Raw genomic sequence first — 23,215 nt, forward strand, 5'->3', positions numbered from 1 at the left:
TCATCTGGATCCCCACTTAGCCCCTGACTTTGGCTCTGCTAGGGAAGAAACCCCACACTGACTGGCTGTGATCATCTGGGGTGGGGGAAGCATGACTTACTTCCCTGGGCTTCCAAAGGAGCATCTGAGAGTTGAATGAAGGCTCTGAACCCAAAGAGTATGTTTTGAGAAGCGGGGAGGCTGTGTGGCATCTGGGTGTTGGAGTGGGTGGGAGTGAGTATGGGAAGATGGGTGTCTGGCATTTACAAATAGCCTCAGGGGACTGTGGTGGCTTCACTGGGGGTGACTGACCCATCTGGGACTTTGCCTAGTGACCCTGCTCTGAGAAGCCTCTGGATGCCTCCGTCTGCCTTCTTGGCCTCCTCAAGTCCTTCGCCGCCTGCCTTGGGCCCCTGAACCCCAGCCCCTCCCTACTCTCTCCCTCACTACCACCAGCTCACCACTCCCCCGCACCCAATTCTGACACAAAAGGCAACTTTGTCTTTCAAGTCAGCAGCCATAAATCCACATCTCTCCCCTCTCACAGCCACCTCTGACAAACAGGGGCCTGGATGGGGGAGAGGTGGGGGGCAGTGGGAGGTTGGATTCCGCTTGGGAATGTCTCAGCATCTAGCTGTTGGTCCCCTGGCTGGTGGACTGGGTGAAATGGACTGCAAGGCCAAAGGCGTGGCTGCAGGGGAGGCAAACAGGGCTCTCAGCAGCCTCTAGGCTGGACTTTTACAACCCAAGGGGAATAAAACCGCTTAAAGCCCTGCTTTTAATTACTCAGCCCCATAATTTGGAGGCTCCAGTTCTTCCTCCAGATCAAGCCATGAGCAACTCCTCCCTCAGTGGAGGGTGTGAAGTGTGCCTGGGGCTGTGTGCTGTGGGATGCAGGAAGGGCGCCTGCCTTAGACAGCACAGGGACTGGGGGGTGCCCTGCCCTGCATTTAGTGGTAGCCTCTTACATTCAGGGAGGAGGGAAAGGGAGAAAAGCATCTCCTGCTCCATGTGACCACCCCACCAACCCCACAGCCAGGTTTTCAAAAGCAGTCCCAGTTTCGAGTATTTGGCCCTGTTTTCATCCTACACATCAGGCAATGAGTCAGGACATGTCCTGGTTTTTGGTTTGGGAAATATAGTCATCTGTCCTATTTACACAGCAGACCCACTGAGTCAACTGTAAGCATTCATTCAACAGATACTTACTGAATGCTAATGTCTCAGACAGGACATTCTGACACCCCAGGAGCAAACTCCCTCCATCCCACAAATCCGTCCTTAGATGTGCACACCCAACCTCCTAAGAAATAGAAGGATGATGGCCAGGTGCAGTGATTCATGCCTGTAATCCCCAGAACTTTGGGAGGCTGAGGTGGGCAGATCGCTTGAGCCCAGGAGTTTGAGACCAGCTTGGGCAACATGGTGAAATCCCGTCTCTACAAAAAATACACAAATTAGCCGGGTATGGTGGCGTGTGCCTGTAGTCCCAGCTACTCAGGAGGCCAAGGCAGAAGAATCGCTTGAGTCCAATAGGTTGAGGCTGCAGTGAGCTGTGACTGTGCCACTACACTCTAGCCCAGGTAACAGAGTGAGACCCTGTCTCACACGCACACACACACACACACACACGCACACACACGCATGCACACACAGACACGCACAAAAATAAATAAGAAAAGAAAGAAAGCAAAGCAAAGAAAAAAGAAACATCAGAAGGATGAAAGCACCAGAGCCAGGATCTTAGGTCACTGTCACAGTAATATGGTTCTGAAAAACAAAGACCTGCAAAGGCCATCAAGGGGCAAAGGTTAGATGTTACTTCCATCTGTATAACTCTGAGAGGTAGGGATTACTAGCCCTTCTAAGGCTCAGACAGGCTAGGTAACTTGCCCATGGTCACACAGCCAGTCCGTGGTGTTAAGGCAAACATTTGGACTTACAATGGTCTGACTCAAAATCCAAGTCTCTTTACCTTCATCACAAAGCTGTCCTCAGCGGGGAAATACATATTCAAATGACCCTTAAACATGACTGATGGGGCCTAGACTCACCCAGAAAAACAGAGAGGCACACAACATGCTAGACCCTTACTGCCACCCTTCCTACTCACACTCAGAGTCACCCATGACACAGCAGGCTTCACTTCGACTCCCCCAGGGTTTGGTGGTAGGTTTTATAGGGAGTAATTAATGCAAATAAGCACCATGATAAGGTGGTGTTATCACCCCCACTAATGGGCACTGTGCCCCCACATGGCTCCTAATTTCTATTAATACAGGCAAATAAACAACCAAGATGGCTCTTCCTTGAGTACTTCCAACTCTGCCCTCCAGCAGATCTGAGCTGTGAAGCCTTGAGAGGGTGGGCCTGCAGGTCTATGCCTGTAGTCTAGCCCACTGGGTTGTATAAAATAGAGGATTGATTTATTTTCCTGTTGTGGGGGGATTGGGAGGAAGCACTGTGAAATGCTAGTGGCGTCCATGGAGTAAAAGGGTGGCCACGAGACTCAGCTCTTTTTTTTTTTGAGACGGAGTCTCGCTCTGTCGCTCAGGCTGGAGTGCAATGGCGCGATCTCGGCTCACTGCAGCCTCCACCTCCCAGGATCAAGCGATTCTCCTACCTCAGCCTCCCGAGTAGCTGGGATTACAGGTGCCCGCCATCATGCCCGGCTAATTTTTTTGTATTTTTAGTAGAGACAGGGTCTCACCATGTTGGCCAGGCTGGTCTTGAACTCCTGACCTCAGGTGATCCGCCTGCCTCGGCCTCCCAAAGTGCTGGGATTATAGGCGTGAGTCATCATGCCCGGCCGAGACTCAGCTCTTTTAACAGCTGGATATGTGATCTTGGTAAGGGCAAAGCCCCTCTTTGAGCCTCTTTTCCCTCCTCTGTAAAATAGGGAAATGCGAGTTGGACAACTCAGTGACTGGGTCTCATCCAGCTGCAACCTTTGAGGCACATCTGCTTCCAAATACCAGCCAATGGTGCAGGGTCAGGGGCTGGGAGATGACTTGGAATTCCTCTCTGCCTTGGACTTGAAAATGTCCAGACCCAGCAGAGCCCCTCTCCACAGACTGTGTGTCTCTGCCAGTGTCAGGGTCACCAATCTTCCTTATGTAAACCTGCCCAGTCCCACAATATCCCTAACTTCCGTCGTTCTGGTCAGGACACCGGATCTCCCTCACCTCCCGGAAGGGTGTCTGGTTAGGGGGGCCCAGGCTGCAGCTATTAAGTAAATTGCTTTCACATGACCACAAGGACAACTCAACAAAAACAGATACTTCCCCCGAATTTCCAGAGCCATATATTAGGATTTGTAGGAACTAATATAGTTGGGATTTAGGTAACAGAGAGGCAGGCTGAGATCAGCTCCTGGCTCTGTCACAGATTCCCTCTGGGACCTTTTGGTTCCAACCTTGGTTTTCTCATCTGTAAAATGGGAGTGGGGCAGGATAGACAAATAATCTCTAAGGTCCATACTAACATTAAGATTCTAGGATAACACTGGGTAAAGTGACCCCTCTCCATCTGTCAGTGGCCTGTGAACCAGAGAAACTCCATCTTAAACACGAGTTGGGTGAAATGAGGCTGAAATCTACTGGGCTGCATTCCCAGATGGGTAAGGCATTCTAAGTCAAAGGATGAGATTTTGTCAGCACAAAATACAGGTCATAAACACCTTGCTGATAAAACAGGTGGCAGGCCGGGAGTGGTGGCTCACGCCTGTAATCCCAGCACTTTGGGAGGCCAAGACGGGTGGATCACCTGAGGTCAGGAGTTCGAGACCAGCCTGACCAACATGGCGAAACCCTGTCCTTACTAAAAATATAAAAATTAGCCGGGCATGGTGGCGTGTGCCTGTAATCCCAGCCACTTGGGAGGCTGAGGCAAGGCAGGAGAATTGCTTGAACCTGGGAGGCAAAGGTTGCAGTGAGCCGAGGTCACGCCATTGCACTCCAGCCTGGGCAACAAGAGCGAAATTTCATCTCAAACAACAACAACAACAACAACAACAACAAAACAAACAAACAAACAAAAAACAGGTTGCAGTAAAGGAGCCGGCCCAAGCCCACTAAAACCAAAATGGACACGAGAGTGACCTCTGGTCATCCTCACTGCTACACTCCCATCAGCGCCATGACAGTTTACAAATGCCATGGCACTGTCAGGAAGTTACTCTACATGGTCTAAAAAGGGGAGGCATGCATAATCCACCCCTTGTTTAGCATATCATCAAGAAATAACCATAAAAATGAGCAACCACCAGCCCTTGGGGCCGCTCTGTCTATGCAGTAGCCATTCTTTTATTCCTTTACTTTTTTAATAAACTTGCTTTCACTTTGCACTGCAGACTCGCCCTGAATTCTTTCTTGCGTGAGATCCAAGAACCCTCTCTTGGGGTCTGAATTGGGACCTCTGTCCTGTAACATATTTCTGGCAATCACAGAAGGATTATAGTGCAGAATCGCTGACCCAACAGCTACCTTTGGGTAAGTGTTGGGGTCCTGTAACATATTTCTGGCAAACAATGGAAGGGACGATACCGAGGAGACACCCCAACCCAAAGGGAATAGACTGCAGTGCTGACTGGAAGACTTTGGGTAAGTGATGCGGTACCCAGGTAAAGAATGGGATGGGGTTAGTGGCCCAACTTCGGGGAGTTAGAGTCTCTCCAAGACAGAGTGGGTTAAAGGCCCCTCTTAATAAAAGGCAAGGATGCTTGACCGACCCCGGGTTAGAGGCCCGACTTAGGAGGGTTAGAGTCCCTTCTAAGATTTTAGGGGGTTAGAGACCCCTCTCAGTAAAGTCCCTCTTGGCTAAGAACAGGTTTGGCACTATGGAATGTTAACTGCTATCTCTTTGGATTAAGCTGCTTTGCACTCTTTGCTGATGGCTGTGGGTGACAGGATTAGGCATGTACAGGATCTTGGGACATGGGGAGCTTTTTCCTCCCTAAAACGGGAAACTCAAGAGCTGATAGGGTTGCTGGAAAAGATCCCTGCTCAACTGACAGCAGCCACCTGAACTTTTCAGTGTCACTGCAATGGGTGGGTCTTTCTCTGGCCTCCCTGATCATTTCACTTTCCCCACCCTGCCACAGGCGATGCTTTTCTTTCTCTTTCTTATCTTTTCTATTACTCAGGGCGACCATCTTGTGCTGAAACTCCTAGTTAGAGGTTGGATTAAAGATGACAGGCCCATCTGGGGGCAAATTTAAGTCTTGACAGTTTGATATTGGGTGCTAAGCAGAGTAGCTAATGTCTATGTTTTGTTATCACAAGTATTTTGCTCTGGCCAGAATGAAAAAAAAATAATTTTCCTTTATGATGTGGCTTGGCCCCTGGGGCGATGGTGGCATAAGCCGAATCAGTAGGGCCACTCAGGGAAAGGGAACCCAGAAGGCTGACATGCCGGCAAAAGGGAAATAATTCCTTACCAGTCAGATTTTGGGTTTCTCTCTCTCTGTGCAAACGGTTGAATGAATGGAAAAAAAAATCTGTATCTCCTTTGTAAAGTTTTGATTAATGCGAAAAAGAATTCTAAGGCTAGTCTTAAGCTGGTGTATTTTGTGCTATGAATTCGTTTTTCTGTGTCGAGGGGGTACTTCAGGATAAAACATGGGCTTAGAACACCTGTATGTCCGCTTTTCAAGATGACTCAGCAAGCTGGTCGGTCACAAACTTGGTTGCAGGTCCCTGAAACAAACAAAAAACTGGATGAAGTCTCCACCTTGCTTTATGTTCTTGGGAGCTTCACCTTTTAACCACGTGGCAGTACTTTCTTTTGGTCTCTGGCTTCAGGGAACAGGAATTTTAGGGTTCATGTCATAGTAACTCAAAAAATCATATTAAATAGTTAAAAGCTTTTGCAAGCTCAAAATTAACTACTCTAGATTTCTTCTGAGAAAGAAAATAGAGATGGGCCCATCCTGTAGCTCAGTAGCTAAGGTTTTTGCACTTTCACAGTGGTGGTCTGGGTTCAGTTCCCCATCTAGGAAGTAAGTCGTTTATGGTTTAAATATCTGCGTGACCTTGTCTATTCTCTTCTCTGTGGACTGTTTTAAATTTTCCTTTCTCTAAGCACATAGGAGGTTACTTTTGGTAAAGATCAGAAGCTAGAAATATTGGCCACTTGGCATGGCTAAAGTTGGGTAATAAGAGATCTGAAAGGATTATTTATTTATTTATTTAAATATTTTTTTGAGATGGAGTCTCACTCTGTTGTCCAGTCGGGAGTGCAGTGGCTTGATCTTGGCTCACTGCAACCTCCACCTCCCAGGTTCAGCTATTCTCCTGCTTCAGCCTCCTGAGTAGCTGGGACTACAGGCGCCTGCCACCATGCCTGGCTAATTTTTGTATTTGTAGTAGAGACGGGGTTTCACCATATTGGCCAGGCTGGTCTCTGAACTCCTGACCTCAGCCCGCCTCAGCCTCCCAAGAAATCCACCTGCCTCAACCTCCCAAAGTGCTGGGATTACAGGCATAAGCCACCACGTCCAGCCTGAGACTTAGCTTTTTTTTTTTTTTTTCTTGAGACAGAGTCTTGCTCTGTTGCCCAGGCTGGAGTGCAATGGCATGATCTCGGCTCACTGCAACCTCCGCCTCCCAAGTTCAAGCAATTCTCCTGCCTCAGCCTCCCGAGTAGCTGGGATTACAGGTGCGTGCCACCAGGCCCGGCTAAGTTTTGTATTTTTAGTAGAGATAGGGTTTAACTGTGTTTCCCAGGCTGGTCTCGAACTCCTGACCTCAGGTGATCTGCCCACCTCAGCCTCCCAAAATGCTGGGATTACAGGCATGAGCCATGGTACCCGACCAAGAGTCAGCTCTTATCTGCACTTCTGCCTGGTGTGTCCTGGGCGAGGCTCTATACCTAGAGCATAATCAAAATCTCGAATTTACCAAGGTTTTCACCAAAAATAAAAGTTGCTAAGAGTTAACATTATAACATGTAATTGAAACTACTAAAGAAACAATTTCACATGCAAGGTGTGCAAAGAAAGTAAAATGTGTTTTGGTGAAAGATTATAAGAAGTCATGAGAATGTGTATTTTTTTTCTGCCTAAAGTGTTAAAGGATTGTTTTAAGTAAGAAAAAAATCTAAAGTTTAAACAAGGTGTAGAAGGTTCATAAAAATTAATTGTAAGATATTCTGTGTGTGAACATATTGGCTAAAGTTAAAGTCGTATTATTCAGTTTTTCCATAAATTAAACATTGGAATAGAAGCACAACAGGTTTTTCTTAGAGCACTAATCTGCTCTTTCACAAAAAAATGTAAAGGGTTATAAAAGGTTTATAAGAATCTTACCGGCTGGGCGCAGTGGCTCACGCCTGTAATCCCAACACTTTGGGAGGCCAAGGTGGGCAGATCACAAGGTCAGGAGATCGACCATCCTGGCTAACACGGTGAAACTCCATCTCTACTAAAAATACAAAAAATTAGCTGGGTATGGTGGCGGGTGCCTGTAGTCCCAGCTACTTGGGAGGCTGAGGCAGGAGAATGGTGTGAACCCGGGAGGCAGAGCTTGCAATGAGCCGAGATTGCACCACTGCATTCCAGCCTGGGCGACAGAGTGAGACTCCGTCTCAAAAAAAAAAAAAAAAGAATCTTACCTTACGGTTAAACATTAACATTGGGTAAATATGTCTATAAAATTTTATTTAAAATTGGGTTTAACATTTATAGTACATTAATGTAAAGGTGAAATTTGGCTTATTTGGTATAAAAATCATACAGGAAGCATTGTCAAATGTGAAATGGTGTTTTGCTTTCTTTGGACTATATTTGCATAAATGTGTTATTGGTATATGGTCCAAAGTTATGGGAAACTCCTATAATTTTAATATAACTTAGTGTATGTTATTAATAATTATAATTGTTATGTAACATTTTGTGTGCCACAGAAGTGACCAAATTTCCTTATCAATTGTGGCTTTAACAGTGGCTGTCCTAAAACTTTTTATCATCCAGACAATTGTTGTCTTGTTTTAATCCTCTTTAAAAGGTGGTTTATAATCAACTATAAAACTCTAGCAGGTGTTCTTAAATGCAGATTTCTAATAACTTTGGAAATTGTAACATTAGAATAGAGGAAACAACTTGCAGAACTCTCATGAAGAGCTGGAAACTTCATGAATATCAGATAGGAGTCAACTGAATTAACTGAACCAATAGAAAACTGAAGTAATCTTTTTAATTTTGCTTAAAACGTTGCTGATCCTTTGTTTTTCAGAGTCAAGGAAATTTTTTTGAGCTATTTGCAGCTTGTAGCAATTGAGTAAAGTATACTGCTGTGAACAAAATTTGGAACATATTTGTTTCTTTCTACCTGATTTCTCCAGAATTTGGAAACTAGTTGTGAGTATTCTTAACTTATGGCAATATAATTATTTGCATATAAGAGTCTGTTTTCTTTTGTAACAGGACTCAGTTGGAGAAACTGATTATTTTACCAAGGCTTTGACTGGAATGATGTGCTTTCCTTTAAGGAATCAAACTTGACTTGTAGAGCTAATAAAAGCCCTTTGGGGAACTCATCTCGTACCTTGCCTACACGGTCCCTGTACAGGGTTTCTGACCTATAACAAGTAAAGAATGTCACTTTCTCACAGGTCCAGGAGCCCCAAGTTATCTTGGGACCTCAAAAAGAGAGGAATTTACCCAATTCATAGGTATTTGAGGGTACAAGCCCATGGCAGGGCTCAGCTTTAAAAAAGTCTCATCTAAGGTTCCTTCTATGGAAGAGAGTTCCATCAAAGCCAATTTTAAAAGATCCTATGTGAAAAATAATTATTATTGCTGCACTTTATACAAATAATCAGGCCAAGTATAATAAAGCAAATCAGTCTTACCATGATTTGTCTTTAGTAAAAATGGGAAACTGGACAGAGAAATATGTTTCAAGAACTATGGTACACTTATTGTTAAAGTCTAGTCTCATTAGTTGTTTTTAAGTTTGTTTCTGCAATTTAGGCTAACTCTGCTTATTCCTGTGAACCAACCAGTAATCTCTGTCTGCTATTCATGAGAAACAAGAGGGATGGGTAATGTAAAACTCTGGATCAGTATTCCAATTTTGGGCACATTACAATCAGCTAACAACCCCATATCAGCTTGGTTCCAATAGTTGCCCAGTTAATGGAAACCCTTCTAATTTAGTTTACTTGGAACAACTTTACTTATTTTGCTTTACTCTTGTGGAATATATTGTGGAGTATCTTTGTAGGAATACAGGACAAGCGTACTTTTTTTTTTTTTCCTTCCTTCCTTCCTTCCTTCCCCTCCCTCCCTCCCTCCTTCCTTCCTTCCTTCCGTTGTTTTTTTTATAAAGAGTCTTGCTCTGTCCCCAAGCTGGAGTGCAGTGGCACAATCTTAGCTCACTGCAACCTCTGCCTCCCGGGTTCAAGCAATTCTCCTGCCTCAGGCTCCAGTGTAGCTGGGACTACAGGCGCCTGCCATCATGCCTGGCTAATTTTTTGTATTTTTAGTAGAGACGGGGTTTCACCGTGTTAGCCAGGATGGTCTCGATCTCCTGACCTGGTGATCTGCCCGCCTCGGCCTCCCAAAGTGCTGGGATTACAGGCGTGAGCCACCGTGCCCGGCCTCAGATGGGTAAGGCATTCTAAATCACAGGATAAGATCAGATAAAAAGGTCAGCACAAAATACAGGTCATAAAGACCTTGCTAATAAAACAGGTTGCAGTAAAGGAGCCAGCCCAAACCCACCAAAACCAAAATGGCCACAGAGTGACCTCTGGTCATCCTCACTACTACACTCCCACCAGCACCATGACAGTTTACAAAGGCCATGGCAACATCAGGAAGTTACCCTATATAGCCTAAAGAGGGGAGACATGCATAATCCACCCCTTGTTTAGCATATCATCAAGAAATAACCATAAAAATGGGCAACCAGTAGCCCTCAGGGCCGCTCTATGGAGTAGCCATTCTTTTATTCCTTCACTTCTTTTTTATTTGAGACAGAGTTTCACTCTCATCACCCAGGCTGGAGTGCAGTGGCGCGATCTCAGTTCACTGCAACCTCCACCTCCCTGCTTCAAGTGATTCTCCTGTCTCAGCCTCCCAAGTAGCTGGGATTACAGGCGCATGCCACCACACCTGGCAAATTTTTGTATTTTGAGTAGAGATGGGGTTTCACCACGTTGGCCAGGCTGGTCTCGAACTCCTGACTTCAGGTGATCTGCCCACCTCGCCCTCCCAAAGTGCTGGGATTATAGCCGTGAGCCACTGTACCTGATCTTATTCCTTTATTTTCTTAATAAACTTTGCACTGCGGACTCGCCCTGAATTTTTTCTTGAGTGAGATCAAAGAACCCTCTCTTGGGGTCTGGATCAGGATCCCTGTCTTGTAACACATCCGTAAAAGGACACTCTCCTCTCATGCTATGTCACCTTGCAGACATTCACCCTTGTATTCTTTGCTTCCACTGCCCCCTCTGCCTACAACTCTGTTGCCCCTTTTTCTACCACCGCCTCCGTCTTCCATATCCGCCAAAGGAAGCAGAATTCATTCCTAACTCTAACATGTTGCCTGCACGTCTCCTACCCCTTTTCAGACTGTATTAGAGTTGGCTGTTGATGCGTCTATCTGCCTACCCATCGAAGACCTATGAGTCCCTTAAGGGCAGGGAACAGACACATTTATCTCTCTACCTCCAGCACCTAGAACAAATACTAGGTAAACACTAAGTCCTCATAAACTGTTCCCTGAATGCTGACTTAAACGGTCATATGTTCTTGGGGATCACTCCTCATCTTGTCTTCCACATAAGTCCCCAGCCTGCCACAATTCAATGGCTCTCCTCCAACAAGTTATTATAATTCCTCTACTTGAGTCTCAGCTTCTTCAGTGAAAAGGAAGAAGGTGAATTAGGCTAGGCCCCTGGCTCTCAAACTCGGCTGCAGATCATAATAACCTAGGGTGCTGCCTAACCATGCAGATTTCCGGACCCTGCTGCCAGAGCTTCGGATTCATTGGTCTGGTGTAGTGCTCAGGAATCGGTGTGTCTACTAAAGCTCTGGAAGTGACCCTAGGACTGGGACACCCTGGCCTGGCAAGTTCTTGGGAATCCGGACCAGGGCAGAAACTCAGCCAAGCCCCCCAACCCTTGCTCCCAGCCGGCTGCTCCGGGCAGCCTGACTCCAACGCCAGGAGGTGAGGGCAGAGTGGGCAGCGGAGTGGGGCGGGTGGGGGAGCCTGGGGAAGCCCGGCCCCCGCGGGGCCCCACTGCAGGCATTCAGCTGGCGGGCGGGGTCAGGCCCGAGCCTGGGGCCCCGAGAGCCGCAGTGGCTAGGCGGCAGGAGTAAGTGGGACCATCTGCTCCACTCCTCGGAGGTCAGCGCTTTGTGTCAGACTCCCATCCCCCCCGCTCTTCTCCCTCCTTCCCCGCTCTGCCCTTTGACTCCGGGCCTCAAAGGAGAAAAGCACTGGAGGTCCTGATGAAAGTGGGAGCGTGATGGGGAGCGACAACAGCCACCGGAGCCCCGGTCCAAGCGGCCCCAGGCTCCCCGGCCCAGGGCGCGGCAGGGGCGGCGGGCGAGGGCGCGAGCCCGGAGGACGCGGCGGGCCCCTTCCCGGCGGCCGGGCCCGAGGCGGGGGCCGGTTCCCACAGCCGACCGGGCCGCGCGCCGCCTTTGAAGTGGCCGCAGCTGCGCCCCGGCCCGCGGCTAATCCCCGCCGACGCGGGCGTCCCGCCCCCCCGCCCCTCCCGCATAGCAATAGTGTCCGCGCTGAATGGCGCTGGCTAATTACCTCGCTCGCACCACCGCGGGTGAATGAGAGAATCCGGCATTGTGCGCGGCGAATGGAGAAAATAAGACAGCCATTGTCCTCGCACGCCAAACGAGGGTTTGATGTCGCTGGGGCGAGCGAGGCACCATTTCCCGCCACCCCCTCCCCCAGAGCCTCGGATTCCCCAGCTGGGCCCGGCCCCGGCGCACTCGCGGCGGCGGAGGGAAACTGAGGAAGCGGTGCCTGTCTCCCCGAGGAAATAGGCCCTTCACCTTCCGTGGAAGCTGGGCGGACACGCGCGGCCCCCGGACTCGCCCTCGTCCCTCCCTCCGGGCCCCTCCCCGAGCCTTCTCCACCTGCAGATTCTCAGGGGCGCTCTAACTGAGCGCGCAGTTGTCCTTAATTCAGGAAAAACGGGCACGGCTCTGCATTCAAAGACCTAATCCCATTTCGCCGATACACACCAAACACTTGGAGAAAGAGTGGGGAATTTACATACCTTAGTGCCCAGCTGTGTGCCACCAACCTGAAAGGACTGCCGAGGTTTAGGCAATGGCTGGGAGAGATGCGGGTAGAGAAGGCAGGAGAGAAAGACTGGGAAAAGAAGAGGGAAGATGGGGCACTGTGGGGAGCCTGGACTGATGAAGGGACTAGAGGAGTCGGGAAGAGGGAAATGGTCAGAAAGGGGAGGTCTGCAAAGCAAGGCCTCAGAATTTGGATTTAATGTCCCAAGCACGGAGGCCACTGTTTTGACCGAGATGCTCCTGGAAGCCAAGGCACCATGAGAAGCCCGGTAAGGCTGAGGCACTTCTTTTTTCACAGGTGAGGACACGAGGTGGCTCAACTTAGAAATCAATCAGAACTAAAGGAAACCACGGTGCAGATGGACAAGCCGATGGTCACACTATGTATGCATTCAAGAGATACTTTGTGCTACGTCAGGCTGCTTTTTCACCATCACCACCAAACAAAGTGGGTTTTTTTTTAAAGGCGAGGGTTGGGGGGGTGGGTGGGGAGATTACACCCTTCAAGATCAGGAAGTGTCTTATCTTTCTGTGCTATCCTTCACAGAGTACTTGGCACAGAGGCAGATAGGTGCAGGATAGATACTCTTAGAGATTTGCTGATGTGAGATTTGAGAATGGACCTGCTTTTTTTTTTTTTTTTTTTGAGATGGAGTCTTGCTCTGTCTTCCAGGCTGCAGTGCAGTGGCCTGATCTCGGCTCACTGCAACTTCTGCCTCCTGGATTCAAGCGATTCCCTTGCCTCCGCCTCCGAAGTAGCTGGGATTACAGGCAGGCACCACTATGCCCAGCTAATTTTTTTGTGTTTTTAGTAGAGATGGGGTTTCACCATGTTGGCCAGGCTGGTCTCGAACTCCTGACCTTAGGCAATCCGCCCACCTCAGCCTCCCAAAGTGCTGGGATTACGGGTGTGAGCCACCACACCCGGCCTGGACCTGCTTTAATACCCCTCAATTCTGCATATTCTTTTTCTGGAAACATGGACTTCCTAATCTCTTCTGATGGGCTCTTTGACTAATTCCACCTAAAGGAAGAATGATATGCTTATGTTCCAGTGTTCTATCAGATTTATTAAATGATTAATCAATTCTTTATCTGTTAAATAATTAGTGTTGCCCAGATCAACAGAAGGCTGTTGGCTAAACCAATAGCCCTTGGTTAGCACCATTTATTTGACACATATCACAGAGCCCTTTCTGAGGCTGCAGCATTTTCTAATGTCCATGTCACCATAATTCGATTATAAGCATTTTCTAGACTGCCCATAGCCAAACCCTTGCATAGAAGTATCCATCTATCCATCCATTTATTTGAGAATAAAATAAAAGAATGGGCAACACTTATTGAGGGACCAAACGAGCAGGAGCCAAGTTGTTCCTTGCTCTGACCAACTAACTGTATTTAACACTACCAAGCACTAGTAGTGACAGTGATACATGAAAAGCTTTCCAAAATTTAAGTATAACTCATTGTTTTCCTGAATCAAGGCTTAATCTAACCTTGGTCATAACCACAGATGTGATAAAAATGTTTTTCTTTATAACTCTCCTAAATGTTCATCTTAGAGTTATACTTCTTCTACCTAAGACTCTAGGCCCTTAAGCCCTCTTGGCATCACAGCACCTGCAGCTGCCGAACTACTCCCTGTTAGACCTATCTGCCTAGTTAGTCAGTTTAGAGAACTCCAAAACAAAACAAAACAAAAAGATAAAAGCTAAGCTGCCATTGATGGGGTAGATGTAGGATGCCTGGAACCCCACTTTGACCTCCCTTTTCCCCTCCACCTTCAGGATTCTAGGGAGAGGCTTAAAGCCCCCATTTCTAGAGAGAAAAAAGATCCAAGAAAACAACAGCTAGTTAGTTAGTAGCAGATCCAAGACATATTTTTTTTTTTTTTTTTCTGAGACAGGGTCTCACTTTGTCACCCAGGCTGGAGTACGGTGGCGTGATTTCAGCTCACTGCAGCCTCAACCTCTCAGGCTCAAGCGATCCTCCCACCTCAGCTCCCTAAGTACCTGGGACTACAGGCACCCACCACCATGCCTGGCTAATTTTTTGTATTTCGGTAGAGATGGAGTTTTGCCATGTTGCCCAGGCTGGTCTCTAACTCCTGGGTTCAAGTGATCTGCCTGCCTTAGCCTTCCAAAGTGCTGGGATTAGAGACATGAGACACTGCACGGAGCCCCAAAACCATTTTAATGCTATACAGGCCACTAGCTTCATTTTGCAAGACTAAAATGGCTGTTCAAACTGTAACTACAAATACATTTGTCACTATTTATCTCTATACATATGCCTTTGTGGGTTGCCTAGATTTCAACAAGGGTGCCTGAATGGCCAATCCTCAGATAAATTATATTTTGAGAAATGGCACATTCAAAAAGCAAGAGGAGCCTCCGGGCCTAAATTAGAGACTCAATACTTTTAACTGAAAAAGTGTCTTTATGTTTTATTTTATTTTAATTTTTGAGACATGGTCTCTCTCTGTCACCCAGGCTGGAGTGCACTGGTTCACTGCAGCCTCGAACTCCTGGGCTCAACCGATCCTCCCACCTCAGCCTTTTAAGTAACTGAAAAAGTGCTTTGATTTAGTTTATCTAATTAATTAGTTTATTTTTCTTTTAGATGAAGTCTCGCTCTGTCACCCAGGCTGGAGTGGAGTGGCGCGATCTTGGCTCAGTGCAACCTCCACCTCCCTGGTTCAAACAATTCTTGTGCCTCAGCCTCCCGAGTAGCTTGTATTACAGGTGTGTACCACCATGTCTGGCTAATTTTTGTATTTTTAGTAGAGACAGGGTTTCACCATGTTGGCCAGGCTGGTCTCGAAGTCCTAACTTCAAGTGATGCACCTGCCCCAAGTGCTGGGACTACAGGTGTGAGCCACTGCACCTGGCCTGAGAAAATGCTTTTAAATGATCTCTTCCTTTCCCAAACCCAAGACCATGAGTAACTTTAAAAATAATGCTCCATGGGTGAGTATTCTGATAGGAACATAATGAGTATAATAATGAGAGTATGTGTCCTTTTTTTCCCCCATTTCCACAGCAACTTGGGTTCACAGAATGCTTTGTTGTCATTATGGTTATAACAGGAAGGCAGGCATGTCTGTGCAGGGATAGGCCTTCCATGGGGGATGCACAGGACACTGCAGGGAAGAGGCATGCTTCTTAGCATGGAGCCTGGCCTGTGAGCTCTTCTGAGGGTAAGGCTGGTGGTCTGGAATCCTACAAGTTTCTCCAGCTTTCCTGGGAGGGTGTCCCATCCTGAGATGACTGAGTACCACTAGCCACCTCTCCTGGGATGGAAGACTGAGATTTGAACTCACCAGGCCAAGCCCTTCCCACTCAGTACTTAGTAGTGGCACCTGTGACTTAGCCTTTTCTCCATCCTCTCCCAAGTGGCCAATGGTCAGACCTTGGAAGAAGGGTGTTTCAGGGAAGAGAATAGAATAGGGATATGCGGGTGCCCTTTCATACCAGAAGAGACTGAAATAGGGGATTTAGGGTATAGTTAGATGCAGAGAAATGGATGAGACCTTTTCATCTTTGAGCCAAGAGCAGTCAGACATGGTCACTCTCAGCTCCTGACAGCAGGGACTCAGAAGCCTGCTGAGAAAGGCTTAGGTAAAATGCTCCTATAGGCCTTTCAGGAGTAATATCTGATTCAGCTTCATCTGCCCTCCCCCAATCCCAGCTGCTGAGTTATTGGGGGCGAGTGACCCACAGCAGGTAGGAGGTGTTCCTATCCTCCCATATAATACCCACAGCTCCCCATTCTCTCACCCTCATCAGATACCAACTCTAGGCCAAGCCCTGAGGGTGCAGAGGAGCTAGCCTTTCCCCACAATGTTTGCAGACAAGTGGGAGGGATAAGAGATATACTTGCTATTCCAGCATGAACCCTGTCTTCTGATTCCCTCCACCCCGCAAAAAGCAAAGCTGGACATACAGCCCAATGGATCCTTTTCAAACTGATGTGATAAAAGCAATATCACTTTATTTCAGGAAAGCCTTGATCTTATTAACATCATACCAGCCTGCCTGTAATGATCCTGATTTTGTTATGGTTTGATGGGAAAATGACAGACTTGAGAAGCAAAAATCAGAAACAGAGGAGGGCACGAATATCAAACAGCCTCAAGGCTGAGGATCTTTCTATGTAATATCATTATGGATGATCTGAGATAATGGAGTCAAGAATATTCTAATCTAATCTGCAACTGGGACTAAATTAGACAGGCCTTCTCTAAGGTACAGGAGAATTGGAATACAATTTTAAGAGACCTCAGAAAATTAGGATGAAGGGAATTGTTGCAGAAAGAGGAGGACACTCCATATAAGCTGGGATATAAGAGGCAAAACAAAAATAACCCAAGTTGGGGGAGGGAAAAAGAAACCAAATCTGAAGATAGCAGAAAAAGATCTGAGAAGTGTTTGTTGCAAGCCAAATACTGGGTTTCAATTCTCTAAGGTCCTATTCAGCTCTGGCTCTGAAGCTAGAGCCCAAATCCCATTTGACCAATCAGCATGCTGGAAAGAGCATCTGGGCCCTTTCTTTCTTTTCTTTTTTTCTGAGACAGAGTCTTGCTCTGTCACCCAGGCTGGAGTACAGTGGTGCAATCTCAGCTCACTGCAACCTCTGCCTCCAAGGCTCAAGTGATTCTCCTGTCTCAGCCTCCCGAGTAGCTGGGATTACAGGCACACACCACCATGCCTGGCTAATTTTGTGTATTTTTAGTAGAAATGGGGTTTCACTATGTTGGCCAGGCTGGTCTTGAACTCCTGACTCAAATGATACACCTGCCTCAGTCTCCCAAAGTGCTGAGATTACAGGCCATGAGCCACAGTGCCTAGCCGACCTGGCCCATTTCAAGATTTGCCCATAAACTTTTGTCTAGCTCTAGCTCCTTGTCAGAAATCTCTGGCCTACCGGCACAGTGGCTCAAGCCTGTAATCCCAGTACTTTGTTTGGCCGAGTCGGGGGATTACCTGAGCCCAGGAGTTCAAGACCAGCCTGGGCAACATAGTAGGGTCTAGTTTCTACTAAAAATAATAATAATAATAAAAAAACATTAGCTGGGTGTGGTGGTGCAGGCCTGTAGTCCCAGGTACTTGGGAGGCTGAGGTGGGAGGATTGTTTGGGCCCCAGAGGTTGAGGCTGCAACAAGCCGCGATCGTGCTGCTGCACTCCAACCAGGATCAACCAGGATGACAGAGCAAGACCCTGTCGAAAAAAAAAAAAGAAAAGAAATGGAAAAGAAAAGAAATCCCTGGCCTACCCCTCAAGCCCCCCAACTCCAGCTCTCCATTGTTCCCCCTCTCAGACCCATTCCAGGCTCCCAGTTGATAGGGGCGAGTTCCCCAGTTTCCAGATGAAAATATCCCCTCCCACGCTGACCACAGCAGCCTAGAAGAGTAGTGAAAGGCCCCGCGTCCTGGATGCTGGGAGCCCGGGAAGCGAGGACACACGCACACTCGCACACTCATTCACATCCACAGACACACTCGGGCACACAGTTCGATGACTTGACAGCCGAGCAACCATGCAGCGCGGCGCTAATTGCACAGGATCCCACCGCCGTGCTGGGGTAGGGGCGCCGCTCCTCCTGCCTCGAGGACGAGGCATCATTTTCGGAGCCTGCTGCAGGGCTGCTTCCGCGGCCGCCGCACTCTGCCCATCGCGCCCCGCCCAGGGCAGAGCCAGACGTTCTGCGACCAGGGATCTGCGACCGCATCCTGAAACTTCGCAGCCTGGGCTGCTTTGGACACGTGCGCGGGCAGGAGCCAGGAGGGCGGTGACAGAGTGAGGTTAGCAAAAGGGGGAGAATGACAAGAGCGCTATTCTCAAAACTTTCATCCTGACATTAAAAAAAAAAAAGAAGTGGTACAGAGGGAGCTGGGGGGCCTGGAGGGAGGCAGAGGAGGAATTGGAGAGCCGTGTTCAGGATGAAAATGGGGTAGTGTCCGAGAACTTTACAATTGGGAAGGGATTTTAGGAATGTTTTAATCTGGTCTCCCCACACCACATTCCACCTAGGAGGAAACTAGAGGCCCACCCAGTAGGGTAAGCAGATGGGCCCAAAGTCACACAAAGGTGAGTTGAAATTTTACATATTAAAAGCAGCTTCTCCTGGAAGTGGGAGCCAGGGAGGGTGCACAGGTAGGCATCATGGTGTCAGGGTCAAGTCCAAGCTCCTCCTATGACTTTCAGTCTATAATGGTGGGGCCAGAGGAGGTATCCCCTCCAAGCCAGGCACCTCCTGTCTCCAGGACTCCCCTGGCTTCTCTGACCTGCTCACACGAAGCCTGAACAAAAGGTGCCCCCACTGGCAAGGGGTGAGGGTGGGTGGGGGGGTGCACAGAACTCCACACTCCAGAAATGCCTGGGCCTTACTCATCCTCTCCCCTTCAGAATGACTGATGACAGGGCCGTGCCCCCTCCCATTTTCCACAAAGACAAACTGAGGCTCAGCAGTGTTCAGGGAGGGAGCTTGAACCCAGAGCCGGTCGTCAGTGCAAGACTGTCTGCATCTTGCACTGGGTCCAGCAACATGAGGTGTCAGACCCACCAACGGTCCTGTCGGGGTGAGAATACATGGGGTTTTATTACCAGCGAGGTTTGGGGATTTTTTTTTTTTTTTTTTTTTTTTTTTAGACAGAGTCTCGCTCTGTCACCCAGGCTGGAGTGCAGTGGCCCCATCTCAGCTCACTGCAGCCTCCGCCTCCCGGGTTCCAGCGATTCTCCTGTCTCAGCCTCCCGAGTAGCTGGGATTACAGGTGCTTGCCAAGCCACCACACCCGGCTAATTTTTGTATTTTTAGTAGAGATGGGGTTTCACCATGTTGGCTGGTCTGGTCTGGAACTCCTGACCTCAGGTGATCTGCCCGCCTCAGCCTCCCAAAGTGCTGGGATTACAGGCGTGAGCCACCACCCCCAGCTGGTTTGGGGGTAAATTCTAGGTTGTCTTTGATTTCGCCCCACAAAAGCCCACAGGTGGAAAGGGGTTAGGTTGGGAGGGAAACATAAAAGGATGCTCATGGCAGACAGGGTCACAAACCTGGGCTCATATTCCGGGAATGATGAGCCCCCAAAACCAAGGGCCTTCAGGATGGGGATGGGAACCAGAACCCTCACCAGAAGTCAGGCTGGGGAGCGAGTGTGTAGCACTGAGCATCCAGGGCCGCCTGCTGGACCCCCAAGAGGGTGTGGTTTGGTGCTCCCTGGAAGCAGTGGTCCCCTATTCTTGGCTGTCACTCCAGAGACCCAATGCTTGCCCAGCCCCAGAGTCGGCCCCGTGGGCGTGTAATTCCACAAGGCTGTAGGCCACCTTCCCTGGGGGCTGTGGCTATTGCCCAGGCAAGGGGACAGGACAAGGACAATCAGCTGTCTCAGCTCCTCCAGGATGATTATGGCTTCTCCCTGCTGCCCACCCCCGCCACCCGCCTCCTGCCAGGACCCCTGGGGAGAAGGAGCCTTCTCAAGCCATTCCAGTTCCTCTCCTGTGATTTGTTCTGAATTTTCAAACAAAGAGTAATTATGACAGATGTGGAGCAATCAGCATCATTATGCGGAAACAAGAAAGGGAAAGGGAGCAAAGAGGAGGGGGGAATTTGTCTTTCCTCCTCAGGAAGAAGCAACTCCCACCTCTACCTCCAGCAGCCCCAGCCACCTCCCAGCTTCCTCTTCACTCAGGAACCCATTCCCAGCCAGCTCTTGCCCGCCTCACAGGTAGAGCAAGACTTGTCTACACAGAGCCTCCTGTAACTGGGATGTCCCAGCAGCAGCTGGGTCATGGAGTATGTAATCCTGCCTGGCCCACCCAGAAGTGGCTCCCACCTTGGCCAGGGTTCTAAGCTGTCCTCTGTTCTCTACACTCCCCTACTCTCACATTACATGCCTCCAGGTATCTGCTTTTATTTCTGAGGCATAAATACTGATAGGTTCTCCAGGGGTGTGAGCCCCTGCTAGAGACATTCAGGCCAGTGAATTTTTTGGGTCAGGCAGAACTGGGTTGAAATCCCAGCTTCCCCACTTACTGTGTACCCTCGGCCAATTTAATTAATCATTCTGGGATTTCGTTTACTCATCTGTAAAACAGGGCTAGTAATTCCTATTAATGGAATTGTGGGAATTAAATAAATTAGCACACAAAGGGCCTAGAACAGTGCAGCCCCATATTACTCTGACCACATTTACTGTTACTAACTAGTTCTCTACAAGAACCAGCACATAGGTAGCCCTCACACCTGCTGAGCTCAGCCTCCAGGGTGCTTTGGAAACTCAGAGACCCTCTGCAATCTGCCATGGAGGTCAGGAGCCCACATCCAAGGCTTAACAAGCCCACACCCACAGATAAACCAGAGCAGCACGAAAGAAAAACAGAGGGGCCGGGGCAGTGGCTCACACCTGTAATCCCAGCACTTTGGGAGGGTGAGGTGGGAGGATTGCTTGAGGAGTTTGAGGCCAGCCTGAAAAACGTGGTGGAACCTAATCTCTACCAAAATACAAAAATTAGCCCGGCGTGGTATTGTGTGCTTGTAGTCCCAGCTTTTTGGGAGGCTGAGATGGGAAGACTGCTTGAGCCCAGGAAGTTGAGGCTGCCCTGAGCCAAGATCGCACCACTGAACTCCAGCCTGGGTGACAGAGTGAGACCCTGTCTCAAAAAAGAAAAGAAAAAGAAAAATAGAACATGCACGCCAGTGTTTCCTAGGGGAGGACCATATAAGACTCCTCCTTTCTGAACCAGAGGGCAGTGAAGAGTGAGGCACTGGGGAAGGCCAGGGTTCAGAAGCCTGATAAACCAGAGACTCCCTTACCTGCCCAGACTGGAGGACCAGCCATGTCCTTGGGCAGGTCACTCACCTGGGGCTTCGGTTTCCAAGTCTGTAAAATGAGAAAGCTGGGCTAGATGAGCACCAAGGTTTTTCCCGAAGCTCTAATCCTACCAGGAGACCGGGAAGACCCCTAAGGACCTAAGGGGGTTGGGAATTTCAGGATTCTATTGCTGCAGCCTGCGACTCAATGAAAGGGCTAGAACTTGTGTCTCTCTCACGGTGGTCTGTCCCCTCCTCCATTCAGGTGGTCTGGTCTCCATCTTCCCACCCCAGGACCCTGTGGCCTCTTGATAGTACCCCCACCCTCACATTCCAATGGCCTTGGGGGCAGCAGCCAGACCAGAAAGTCCAGTTCCTGCCCATTATCACTGCCTGCATCTGCACTGCAACCTAACACCAGCATTCCAGAGAGCAGCCCAGGGCTGCCCCCACCACCCACTGTGGTCAGTGTCAGTGTCAGTGTCCAGGCTCAGAGACAGGCCCCAACCAGGGTTGGGCCCAGGGTTCTCAGATTCCTTTCAGGAAAGGTCTGCCCCCAGAGAGCCCCTGACTTGCTGGGGGGCTATGGACCCCATCCTTTGTTGCCCTCTTTGAACCTTATCTTCCCAGTCTCTCTCCTTAGTCTCTGCAGAGGCCCGAGCTCACCTACTTCTGCTTCTGAAACAGAAATCCCACTCTAGACAAGGCAGAAGATGGTAAACACAGGAACTCTCACAAAACTGAAGAAAGAGGCAGGCCGGGCACAGTGGTTCACACCTGTAATCCCAGCACTTTGGGAGGCCAAGGTGGGAGGATGGCTTGAGGCCAGGAATTTGGACCAGCCTTGGCAACATAGTGAGACCCTCATCTCTACAAAAAATTTTAAAAATTTGGCCGGGTGCAGTGGCTCATGCCTGTAATCCCAGCACTTTGGGAGGCTGAGACGGGTGGACCACTTGAGGTCAGGAGTTCGAGACCAGCCTGACCAACATGGTGAAACCCAGTATCCACTAAAAATACAAAAATTGGCTGGGCGTGGTGGCAGGCGCCTGTAGTCCCAGCTACTCGGGAGGCTGAGGCAGGAGACTCATTTGAACCCGGGAGGTGGAGGTTGCAGTGAGCCGAGATTGAGCCACTGCACTCCAGCCTGGGCAAAAGAGACAGACATTGTCTCAAAAAAAAAAAAAAAAAAAAAACTAGCTGGATGAGGTGACACATGCCTGTAGTCCCAGCTACTCAGGAGGCTGAGGTTGGAGGATCTCTTGAGCCCAGGATTTCAAGGCCAAGATCACTCCACTGCACTCCAGCCTGGGCAGCAGAGTGAGATCCTATCTCTAAAGAAAAAGAAAGAGGCAGGAAGAAGGATAGAACAATAAAGAAAGAGAAGGAGGGAGGAGGAGCTGGAGAAAGGAAGAAGCTTGGGAGGACAAGGCAGGAGAAACTAGGACTGAGGGATATGAAAGACCAATATATGAAATGTGGCCTCACAGGAAGGCAGAGGGGGCAGCAGGGGGTGGGGAGTGTCAAAGACCAAGGAGCATGGACATCAAGACCCAGAGAAGAGAGAGAGAAGGGCGGGTGGAGCCCCTAGGGCACCAGCCCTTTGCATCACATTTCCTTCCTGCCTGAGTCAGGTGAGCCAGTCCTGGCCCCCCACCGGCTTGCCTGCATTAAGCCCACCCCGGCCCCTGCATCTCCCTGCAGTCTGGGGGTCTGCCAGCAGCTCCCCCGGCTTGCCACTCTTCAGGCCTCTCTGCTCAGCCCCCAGCTTCCCACCTTCACTGGGTCTCAACATCTATCGTGAGTCCAGGTGCCCACAGAAAGCCCTCTCTTCTGCTCTCCTTACATCTGAGGGCAGCCACAGAGGCATTTCTTAAAAGAGGGTGAACAAAGTTGGGGGCAGGGAGAGCAAGCTCAGAAATCAGGGAGAGGTTCTTTTGTGGGGATGGTGCAGTGCAGGCCAGCAGGCTTGCCAGAGTGCAGCTAGATTTTGGGCAGCCACCCATTGAATAAGAAAACTATGGCCCAGGCCGGGTGCGGTGGCTCACGCCTGTAATCCCAGCACTTTGGGAGGCCGAGGTAGGTGGATCGCTTGAGGATAGACGTTTCAGATCAGCCTGGCCAACATGGTGAAACCCCGTCTCTACTAA

The 23,215-nt window shown here is 49.1% G+C and overlaps 1 protein-coding gene across 5 annotated transcripts in view, besides 4 other annotated features; it reads right to left on the reverse strand.

Moving 5' to 3' along the window:
* Positions 1 to 23,215, reverse strand: part of IGDCC3 (immunoglobulin superfamily DCC subclass member 3) — a 50,876-nt gene that overhangs the window by 16,842 nt on the left and 10,819 nt on the right. Inside the window, exon 1 of one of the 5 annotated variants that reach the window (XM_011522244.2) lies at positions 12,229 to 12,699. The exons of 3 other annotated variants lie outside the window; for them this stretch is intronic. Coding sequence is in view for 1 of the 2 variants with exons in the window: in XM_011522243.1 (XP_011520545.1) it covers positions 11,751 to 11,790 (40 nt within the window). In the remaining variant the exon portion in view is untranslated. Of the gene's footprint in view, positions 1 to 11,750; positions 11,938 to 12,228; positions 12,700 to 23,215 lie in introns of those variants that run through there. One more of the 5 variants, XM_011522243.1, reaches the window with a different exon arrangement.
* Positions 11,059 to 11,561: an enhancer, noted in NCBI's record as "H3K4me1 hESC enhancer chr15:65647365-65647867 (GRCh37/hg19 assembly coordinates)". NCBI's record gives its function as "activates a minimal SCP1, AML or CMV promoter by ChIP-STARR-seq in naive H9 embryonic stem cells {active_cell/tissue: H9 hESC(naive)}" and the evidence as "EXISTENCE:reporter gene assay evidence [ECO:0000049][PMID:30033119]".
* Positions 11,562 to 12,064: an enhancer, noted in NCBI's record as "H3K4me1 hESC enhancer chr15:65647868-65648370 (GRCh37/hg19 assembly coordinates)". NCBI's record gives its function as "activates a minimal SCP1, AML or CMV promoter by ChIP-STARR-seq in primed H9 embryonic stem cells {active_cell/tissue: H9 hESC(primed)}" and the evidence as "EXISTENCE:reporter gene assay evidence [ECO:0000049][PMID:30033119]".
* Positions 12,065 to 12,567: an enhancer, noted in NCBI's record as "H3K4me1 hESC enhancer chr15:65648371-65648873 (GRCh37/hg19 assembly coordinates)". NCBI's record gives its function as "activates a minimal SCP1, AML or CMV promoter by ChIP-STARR-seq in primed H9 embryonic stem cells {active_cell/tissue: H9 hESC(primed)}" and the evidence as "EXISTENCE:reporter gene assay evidence [ECO:0000049][PMID:30033119]".
* Positions 19,089 to 19,954: an enhancer, noted in NCBI's record as "H3K27ac-H3K4me1 hESC enhancer chr15:65655395-65656260 (GRCh37/hg19 assembly coordinates)". NCBI's record gives its function as "activates a minimal SCP1, AML or CMV promoter by ChIP-STARR-seq in naive H9 embryonic stem cells {active_cell/tissue: H9 hESC(naive)}" and the evidence as "EXISTENCE:reporter gene assay evidence [ECO:0000049][PMID:30033119]".

The sequence above is a fragment of the Homo sapiens genome, chromosome 15, assembly GCF_000001405.40.
Source record: "Homo sapiens chromosome 15, GRCh38.p14 Primary Assembly".
Lineage (NCBI taxonomy): Eukaryota > Metazoa > Chordata > Mammalia > Primates > Hominidae > Homo > Homo sapiens.